Here is a 10,563-nt window from a genome sequence, read left to right on the forward strand (position 1 = left end):
GTAGTTCTCTTTGAAGATGTCCTTCACTTCCCTTGTTAGCTGTATTCCTAGCTATTTTATTCATTTTGTAGCAATTGTGAAGGGGAGTTCATTCCTGATTTGGCTCTCAGCTTGCCTGTTGTTAGCATACAGAAATGCTGGTAATTTTTGCACATTGATTTTGTATCCTGAGACTTTGATGAATTTGCTTATCAGCTTAAGAGGCTTTTGGGTAGAAATGATGGGGTTTTCTAGATATAGGACCATGTCATCTGGAAACAAAGATAGTTTAATTTCTCTTTCTATTTGAATATGCTTTATTTCTTTCTCTTTCCTGATTGCCCTGGCCAGGACTTCCAACGCTATGTTGTATAGGGGTAGTGAGAGAGGACAACCTTGTCTTGTGCTGTTTTTCAATGGGAATGCTTCCAGTTGTTGCCCATTCAGTATGATATTGGCTCTGGGTTTGCATGTATGGCTCTTACTATTTTGAGCTATATTCCTTTAATACCTACTTTACTGAGAGGACTACCAACCAAAAAAAAAGTTCAGGACCAGAAGGATTCACAGCTGAATCCTACCAGAGGTACAAAGAAGAGCTGGAACCATTCCTACTTAAACTATTTCAAGAAACTGAGGAGGAGGGGCTCCTCCCTAACTCATTCTATGAGGCCAGCATTATCCTGATACCAAATCCTGGCAGAGACACAACAGAAAAAGAAAACTTCAGGCCAATATCCTTGATGAACATCGATGCAAAAATCCTCAACAAAATACTGGCAAACCAAATCCAGATGCACATCAAATAGCTTATCCACCATGATCAAGTAGGCTTCATCCCCAGGGTGCATCCCCAGGGTGCAAGTCTAGCTCAACATACACAAATCAATAAAAGTGATTCATCACATAAACTGGACTAAACCCAAAAACCACATGATTATCTCAATAGATGCAGAAAAGGCCTTTATAAAGTTCAACATGGCTTCTGGTCTAGTCTTCATTTTCTGTGCCTTCCATGAATAGCAGTTGACATTCACCCAGAAGATTCTATTCATTCCCATCCACACTGAGCATCTATCCTATTCCACATGATCCCAATGCTGGACTCCAATCTGTAATATCAAATTGATGTCCTTTCCTCCCCAAGAAATAGGATTTTCTCAGATTCCCTTGAGAAAAAAAATAGGCAGCATGAGTCAAAGTCAAGGTAGGTTTTGATATATCTGATTTAAATTATAGCTATATAACGTCAAGTTAGCAGGCCCAGATAACACATTTCAGTGACGAACAACTAAGTGCCAGATTCTAGGCTGCTGTTTTTACGTGAGTTATGCAGAAACACATTTTTTTCTATCTTTCATTTTAAGGAAAAAATTTCATGATGCTTTTCTTGGTTTATTAGATACAACTTCTAAGACATCTCAACTCTCTGTGAATTTTGATACTATAGGGAACCAGGACATGACACTAATTGAATAGATTCCTCAGAGACCTACAAGCTGTCAACTGTATAAAGATTTCTTTTTGTAATGCAATGTTTTGGTTCATTGCACACAACATCAAAACACTAAGATCAGAGAGAATGCAAAAGATGTTTTAACTGATACTTAAGAACAGAATACATTTGACCCCTCAAAGTGTCCCAGGAAGAGTAATTATTCTAAACATTTTTCTATATTCCTCACAAAACAGTAGAATCCCATAGTTAACTATTGTTTAAAATAGTGGCTTAACAATTATCTTTGATGCCTAGGTGAACATTTATTTTTCTTGTCCCTATTATTATACAGTAAAAGTCCAAAAATACATAAAGTCACCTACCTACAATGACAAAAATAAATTGACAGTGTGAACCTGGGGATGGCCTGGAAGCAAGTCGTGAGCACTAACGCATTTGCATGCATTTGACTGTCTAGTAAAGCAGACCAATTATACAGCTCCCAAAAGGCAGCTTAGTGATGGAAAATTCTTTCAGTAGCTTTTTAGTTTATTTGATTGATTATGTGTGACCCAGTGATAGCAGTTTGAATTTGATTGTAGGTAGAAAAGAAAAAGAAAGCAAACTGAGCTGTATTACTTAAAAGAGCAAGTATACAGAGAACTAGGCATGCAATTATTCATTCCATATTGGTGAATATTAGTTTTTGAGAAATTAAAAAATACATTTCTTTGTATTTCCAGGTATTGATTTTAATCTTATTAAATGAAATAACCACGTGTCAACCTGGGGGAAAGACTGAGTGAAGACCATCATGATCATCTCAAAACTCAAAGGAATTTGCATCCAGAATGGCTTAACTTTGAAAATAGGTACCTGAGCAAAGAAAAGGGTTAATTCATTTGGTTGTTATAGATTTAGAAGAAAGCTATGGATTTAGAAGAAAACTCACTTGACTACCTAAATAGCTTTATGTCATTTCCAGCTCTCATATCTCTCTACTTTGGAAGTAGATTTTGAAACCCAGATTCTATTTTGAGGCTTCTCTTGCCAAAGGAATTGTCATGACTCTTCTCTTTACTTCACAGGACCCAACTTTCACACCATTCTAATCTTTTCTAATTCAACTTCCTATGCTTTGTTTTCATCAAGGCAGTTAATCAAATAATAACCATAATCATAGTAATAGTAATAATTATGACTATAATTAAGTTGTATTTAAATACTAAGTGCTTTGCCTGTATACATTCATTTTATCCTCACAACTATAGGAGGTAGCAACTAGTGTCATACTGAGGCATAGAAAGGTGAAGTAAGTCACCCAATTTTAAGTGGCAGAGGAAATTTTCATGCCCACATGGTGTGGCTCAAAGCCTGCACACTGGAACACTATACCAGATAGCATGGATTACTAGGCAGGATTAAAGAGAAGTGGCATAATTGTATCACAGTTGGTATACTAAAGGAAAATTTGGTAAGTATTGTTTCTAAGACGAATACTTTGATTTTGTATAACAGAACAATATAAGTGAAGTAAATATTGTTTAGGAAGGATTTTAAGCTCATATTGATTCAAACTGCCTCACTGGGGACGTGTGCCTTAAAAACCCTCTTACTCCTTTTTCATCTTAGAGAGAGGTTTCCTTCCCTTTTTTGTGAGACAGTGTCTCACTTTGTCAGTCAGTCTGAGTGCAGTGGCAGTCATAGCTCACCGTAGCCTCTACCTTCTGAGCTCGAGTGAGCCTCCTGTCTCAGCCTCCTGAGTAGCCACCAGCATAGCTGGGGCTACAGGGGTGCACCACCGCATCTTATTTTTTGGTAGAGATGGGATTTCAGCATTTTGCCCAGCCTGGTCACTTGGAGAGAGGTTTCTAGTCGCATATTCAGTATGTTACTTTTCTTTAGATCTTGCTTATTCAATTTTTAATCAAAGGCATGAATGAAGATATAGACTGCAAACAGATGTTGGCTTATTTAATACCAGACTCAAAAATAATATGCCTAAGTATATAAAACCAAATGTAGTAGAAACAAGTATCAAGTTTTATTTTAGTTTTATGAAATGTATTTTTTAAGATGTTTAAACTTGAAACGCATGTCACAGTGTTATGTAAGTTTTGGTTCATTTGTCTCGCTCTGCTTCTGTATAATAGGTATAAGATGATCTTTCAGAATTCTTAGCAACTGTATAGTACTTATCTCCTAGAACTTGTTCAATAATAATTGTTAGATGGATTCATAGACTAAAGAATTAATAGATATAGATTGAAAACTAAAGCATTTTATTTTACAAAGATCAGAATTAATTTACTAAAATCTAAATTTCTGCTAGTAATATTAAATACATGTGGATAAACTACAAGAATGATAAAAATATTGCATTGTAAGAGTCATTAAAAACTTGATATATTGTTAGACAACAACAGTATATTATGATTGTTTTTCAGGCCTCTCATTCCAAGAGAGATTTTAATACAATGCAAAGCATCAAAAATAACTTGAAAATATGATGAATGCTGTGAAATTCATGAAACATGAATAAAACCTTAGGATATTCCATGTTTATTTCAGAGAAGATATAAGAAATTGATTTTTACATACTTAAAGGCTTTCCAAAGCAAGATTAGAAATGTTGAGTTTTTCCAGAGACTTACATATTTCAGAAAAGCCAATTTAATCTCAAACTCTGAAAGTCATTTTATAAGGTACATTGGTAATCATTGCATCTGCTACTTCACAAGGTTTTGTACTCTTTGAAAGGTGTCGAGCAGATCACCCTTCAAAAATGTTCCAGTTTTCTACTGAATGAACTGAAAGGCCTCCCAATTCCATATTCAAAAGATTGTGCAATTTCATGATTTGAAAAATTATATAAAGTCCTAGTGAATTAATTCATTCTGCAGCCAAACCCCCAGGAGTCCTGTCCTCAGGACCTCCCTGAGCCGACTTCCACCGAGGGAGGGGGAGCTTCAGGAGGCAGAGCTTCAGGATGCCTGCTGTGTTCTGGGGACATCCTTGTCATATCCGGTTTTCAGCTTCTTCTTGAAGATTGTTTCGTATCCTGGCTTCATTTCTCAGAGAAGAGCCGCGAGGAGATATAACCATCTCCTTTCACATTGGTCTCCTCCCCTCCTGGAAAACAATGAGCTCCTTGTACCTTTTTTTTTTTTTTTGGTTGGAGTGTGGTCATCTTGATTCTACAAAAGAGGTAGCTCAGGATCGGGATGAAATTTCGGTTTCTTTGAGACCGAAGCTTCTCACATTGTCGAGGTCTTCAGAAAGCCAAAGTGGAACCGCCGTGGAAATGATTGACAACCGCCCACATGACCCAGGCAGAGTCGCAGACAGAGGCCCACTAAAGACACGCTGACATGCAAGAGACCGCTTTGTAGCGCACTGGGCACAGAAACACACACGCTCACGGGCACACACGCACAGAGACAGAGAAAGCCAGAGAAACAGAGAGTGAGTGACAGAGAGAAGAGAGAATGGGAGACACAGGCACCCAGACATACAGCAGTGGCAGAGAGACACAACCCCCAGGCAATCACTGAGGCTGCGGGTTTCTGCTCTTTGGGAGAATGACCCTCGGGTGAGACAGTAGTCCTTGGGCACACAGGCAGACCTGTCCTCGAGATCACGGGGGGCACGGCTTTGGGGGAACTCACCCGAACACCGTACGGGCAGGCCTGAGGCTGGGATGCCGCACTGCTTTCCCCGGACTCCGTCTGCTGTTTCTGCATCCTGGTAGGCCCTGCGTGTAGCATGGTGTCCCGAATCTGTTTTGTCGACCCCCTGGATTGGTCAGGCTGGAGCCTCGACCCCGACGCACTGCCACGGAGGGCTCCTGCTTTGTCAAGGCTCAGGGAATCGTCCTCAGCCAACCGTTGGAGTCACCGTCACGGGAGAATGGGCTCGTGCCTCCCGCATGCGCATTGCCCAGGCCGACTCCTGCTTTGCTCTTCAAACTCCGGCTGTGGCCCCTTTAAACAGGTTCGGCGACACGTGGCGGGGGTTCTGTGGCAGTCGCAGTGGCGGCTGGAGTGGGGATGTAGTAGGGGGCGTTTATGGGACTGGGGGCTTCGGGTCCTCCAGGGCCGGACCCCCGGGAGTCCTGTTCTCAGAACCTCCTTGAGCCGACTTCTACCGGTGCAGGGGACCCCGCTTCAAGGCGCCAGCTCGGGTCTCCGGACTCACAGGCTGGCGTGCATTGTGGTGATCAGAGCTCACTGCAGCCTCAATCTCCCAGGCTGAAGCAATTTTCTTGCCTCAGCCTCCCACGTACCTGGGACTACAGGCATGTGCCCCCACACTCAACTACTTTTCTCCAAAAACATTTTTGTACGAATGGGGACTTACTACGTTGCCTGGCTCATGTCAAACACCTGGGCTCAAACTGTCCTCCTGCGCTGGCCTCCCCAAGTGCTGAGATTACAGGTGTGAGCTCGCTCCTGCAGCTAAATTCTTATATCTTAAATTCCTACCTCCCACAAGAAGCAGATGTTAGTCCCACTTATTTTATAACTTTTTGCTGTTGATGTCTCTTTTTGTCCCTGGACACAGGGATTAGTGACCCACTCTCCACCAAATTTCAAATCATTAGGGGCATTATGTTGTGTCCCACGAGTGGCTGAGGCTTCAAGCACCTGCTGCTCTAACCTAGGCCTGCTGAGGAGTACAATTCATCTTGTGTTTCTGTGTTGTTTAACAACCTTCCTGAGCTCCTCTAAGTCAATCCATCCTGCCACAACTGGCAAGAATCAAGAAACTCTCCAAGAAAATGTTTCTCAACCTGCCTGTTGTCAAGTAGAAGAGGTCTGCTGACCATGGCAGGCATGGCAGTGCATGACAGTGAGCGCCCCCCACCGTGTTTGCTATTCACTGCATGTTCCACCTGAACGTTCCCGTCTGCTCAGTGAGTCTTGACAGTGGGGTAAAGGGGACTCACTCTCAAAGACCAAGGCTGACCCTCTCTGAATACAATGCCTTGACCTAGTTACTGTCACTGTGGTTTTGTCTTCAGGGACTAAAAGATACAATAAGAATTTGTTCCTTTAATTGTCCTGTTGATGCACAAAATACTTAATGCTTCTACATAGGTCTGCTCTTGTGCCCCACAGAGCACTAAGGGAAAGTCCCCACAATAAAAGTGCTTTTCACCTGAGCTGCTACGTGTGACAGTAAAGCAGCTGAAGGTTAAAAAAATCAAAGCTCCCCAAATATGGGTATGACAGCTGGTCCAACCTCACGGTCTGTACTTTCCCTCTGTAACAGCATGGATAAATACAGAGATAACTAGCAACTGATACCCTAGTGTGCCAAGCAATCGATGTATCCGTGTGATTAAAAACCAGCATTTAACCATACTCTAGATACACTAAATATCAACCCCACACTCATAGCCTGTAATTCCACTTTGCTTCCAGATGGCAGTTACAATTGGAAAGGAAATACCTAGTTTACAGAAGGCATTAATACTTCATTGTTGCAGAAACCAAACCCTTAAAAAAATGTATCCTGGACTTTCTGACCTGGATAATAACAAACAGTGAAAAATATGTATCTAAGAATACACTTGGAACAGAAATGTGAAAAACCAAAAGTAAGAGATATTATGAAGGATCAAATATAAAATGACCCACTGCTAAAGAGGCAACAAAGAAAATTGTAGAAGAAAATGACAAGAAGCATTATGCCTTAATGAGTTTGTGCTACTATATAAGAAAATACACTAGGCTGGGTAATTTCTGAAGAAGAGAAATGTATTTCTCACAGTTCCATAGGCTGGAAGTCCAAGATCCAGGTGCCAGCAGGATTGGTGTCTGGTCAGGGCCTGACCTCTGCATCCAAGATGGTACCTTGTGCACTCTGTCCTCAGGAGGAGATGCACTGTGCCCTCACATGGCAGAAGGCAGAAGGGCAAAACAGGGGAAGCCCACTCCCTCCAGTCCTTGTGTAAGGACCCTAAACCCATTCGTGAAGATTCTCCCTTCATGACTGAATCACTACCTAAGGGCCCTACTTCCTAATCCTATAACACTGTGATTAATTTTAGGGGGACACATTCAGAACATAGCACTCTATATTCAATTTGTTAAAATTTATCTTCTTGTTTTGCTTTTCTGTTTTTCAAATGGTTTAAAGTGCACAAAATTTGATTAATCATATTCCTTGGCTCATAGCATACCTTGGCTCCTGTTTCACCCTTGTCTGTGCCTGGGCCTCTATGTAAATGTATTTGAATAATGTGGTAATCACTTGTGAACCCACAACACAACCCAAGAACTAGGGTTCTGACCTAACATCTGCTCCTCCTCTGTCCTTTTTCCTGATTTACACCCTTCAGCCCCAGGGTAACTACTACCCTGAATTTATGTTTAGGATTCCCTGCCTTTAAAAAAACATTGTTTTATTGCATATATATGATTGCCCTAAATGGCATATTATTTAGTTTTTTAAGGGTATAATTTATTTACCCATTCTCCTATTAATTTACCCATTCTCCTATCAATGAACATCTGGCTTGTTTCCATATATTTGCTATTATGAATGGCATTACATGAGCATTTTTTTTAATACTTCTGGTACATATGGGCAAGAGTTTCTCCAGGGCCTATAGTAGAGAAATTACTTTGCCGTAACATATGAGAATGCTCAACTTTATAAGATAATCCAAATTGTTTTCTAAAGTGGTTGTTCTCATTTAAACACTCACGTCCTGTATTAGTTTGAGATGATCTTGTTGATCCACAGTCTCTCCCTATTTGGTGATATGGTTTGGCTGTGTCCACACCCAAATCCCAGCTTGAATTCTATCTCCCAGAATACCCACATGTTGTGGGAGGGACCCAGGGTGAGGTAATTGAATGATGGAGGCCAGTCTTTCCTGTGCTATTCTCGTGACAGTGAATAAGTCTCATGAGATCTGATGGGTTTATCAGGGGTTTCTGCTTTGGCTTCCTCCTCATTTTCTCTTGCTGCTGCCATTTAAGAAGTGCCTTTCACCTCCTGCCATGACTCTGAGGCCTCCCCCACCATGTGGGACTGCAAATCCAGTTGCAGTTCTTTTTCTTTACATCTCTTTTTCTTCTCAGACTTGGGTATGTCTTTATCAGCAGTGTGAAAATGGACTAATACAGTAAATGGATACCAGTGGTGTGGGGTGCTGCTGAAAAGATACCCAAAAATGTAGAAGTGACTTTGAAACTTGGTAACAGGCAGAAGTTGGAACAGTTTGGAGGGCTCAGAAAAACACTGGAAAAGGTGGGAAATTTTGGAACTTCCTAGAGACTTGTTGAATGGCTTTGACAAAAATGCTGATAGTGTTTTGAACAATAAGGTCCAGGCTGAGGTGGTCTCAGATGGAGATGAGGAACTTGTTGGGAACTGGGGCAAAGGTGGCTCTCATTATGTTTTAGCAAAGAGAATGGCAGCATTTTGCCCCTGCCCTAGAGATTTGTGGAACTTTGAACTTGAGAGAGATGATTTAGGTTATCTGCTGGAAGAAAATTCTAAGCAGTAAAGCATTCAAGAGGTGACTTGGGTGATGCTAAATGCCTTCAGTTTTGTAAAGGAAGCAGAGCATACAAGTTTGGAAAATTTGCAGCCTGACAATGTGATAGAAAAGAAAATCCCATTTTCTGAGGATAAATTCAAGCAGTCTGCAGAAATTTGCGTAAGTAACGAGAAGCTGAATGTTAATCCCCAAAACAATGGGGAAAATTTCTACAGGACATGTCACAGGTCATCACAGCAGCCCCTCCCATCACACGCCCAGAGGCCTAGGAGGAAAAAATGGCTTTCTGGGCTGGGCCCAGGTTGACTGTGCTGTGTGTAGCCTAGGGCCTTGGTTCTCTGTGTTTCAGCCCCTCCAGCCATGGCTGAAAGGGGCCAATATAGAACTCAGGCCATGGCCTTGAGAGTGCAAGCACCAAACCTTAGCAGCTTCCACGTGGTGTTGAGCCTGCACATGCATAGAAGTCAGGAATTGAGGTTTGGAAACCCCCACCTAGATTTCAGAGGATGTATGAAAATACCTGGATGTCCAAGCAGAAGTTTGCTGCAGGGGTGGGGCTCTGATGGAGAACCTCTGCTAGGGCTGTGCAGAAGGGAAATGTGGGGTTGGAGCCCCTGCACAGAGTCCCTACTGGGGCACTTCCTAGTGGAGCTGTGAGGAGAGGGCCACTCTCCTCCAGGCCCCAGAATGGTAGATTCACTGATGGCTTGCACTGTGAGCCTGGAAAAGCTGCAGTCACTCAACATCAGCCCATGAAAACAGCCAGGAGGTGGGCTATACCCTGCAAAGCCACAGAGGCAGAACTACCCAAGGTGGTGGGAGCCCACCTCTTGCATCAGCATGATCTTGATGTGAAACATGGAGTCAACGGAGATCATTTTGGAGCTTTAAAATTTGACTACCTTGCTGGATTTCAGACTTGCATGGGGCCTGTAACCCCTTTGTTTTGGCCAATTTCTCCCATTTGGAACAGCTGCATTTACTCAATTACCTGTACCCCCACTGTATCTAGGAAGTAACTAGCTTGATTTGGATTTTACAGGGTCATAGGCAGAAGAGACTTGCCTTGTCTCAGATGAGACTTTGGACAGTGGACATTTGGGTTAATGCTGAAATGAGTTAAGACTTTGGGGGACTGTTGGGAAGGCATAATAGGTTTTGAAATGTGAGGACATGAGGTTTGGAGAGGACATGAGATTTGGAGGGGCCAGGAGTGGAAAAATATGGTTTGACTATGTCCCTACCCACATCTCAACTTGAATTGTATTGCTCAGAATTCCCACTTGTTCGGGGAGGGAACCAGGGGGAGGTAGTTGAATCTTTGGGGCTGGTCTTTCCAATGCTATTCTTGTGATAGTGGATAAATCTCACAAGATCTGATGGGATTATTAGGGGTTTCGTCTTTTGCTTCTTTTGCCTCCTTCTCATATTCTCTTGCCACTGCCATGTAAGAAGTGCTGTTCACTGACAGCCATAACTCTGAGGCCTCCTCAACCATGTGAAAACCTAAATCCAATTAAGCCTCTTTTTCTTCCCTGTCTCAGGTATGTCTTTATCAGCAGTATGAATGTGGACTAATACATTTGGTATTGTCAAACTTCTTAATAATTGTGGGGAGAATAGATGTGTA

At 42.0% G+C, this 10,563-nt stretch overlaps 1 long non-coding RNA gene across 1 annotated transcript, besides 1 other annotated feature; it reads right to left on the reverse strand.

Moving 5' to 3' along the window:
- Window positions 1-3,678: 3,678 nt before the first annotated feature.
- On the reverse strand, window positions 3,679-5,248 carry LINC01665 (long intergenic non-protein coding RNA 1665). Its single transcript, NR_134584.1, has 2 exons — window positions 5,086-5,248; window positions 3,679-4,549 (listed from the first exon to the last, which is right to left on the reverse strand). It is a non-coding gene; the product is annotated as a long intergenic non-protein coding RNA 1665 (long non-coding RNA).
- Window positions 8,115-8,315: a silencer, noted in NCBI's record as "peak4439 fragment used in MPRA reporter construct". NCBI's record gives its function as "represses an SCP1 promoter by STARR-seq MPRAs in K562 erythroleukemia cells {active_cell/tissue: K562}" and the evidence as "EXISTENCE:reporter gene assay evidence [ECO:0000049][PMID:32103011]".

The sequence above is a fragment of the Homo sapiens genome, chromosome 22 (genome assembly GCF_000001405.40).
Source record: "Homo sapiens chromosome 22, GRCh38.p14 Primary Assembly".
Lineage (NCBI taxonomy): Eukaryota > Metazoa > Chordata > Mammalia > Primates > Hominidae > Homo > Homo sapiens.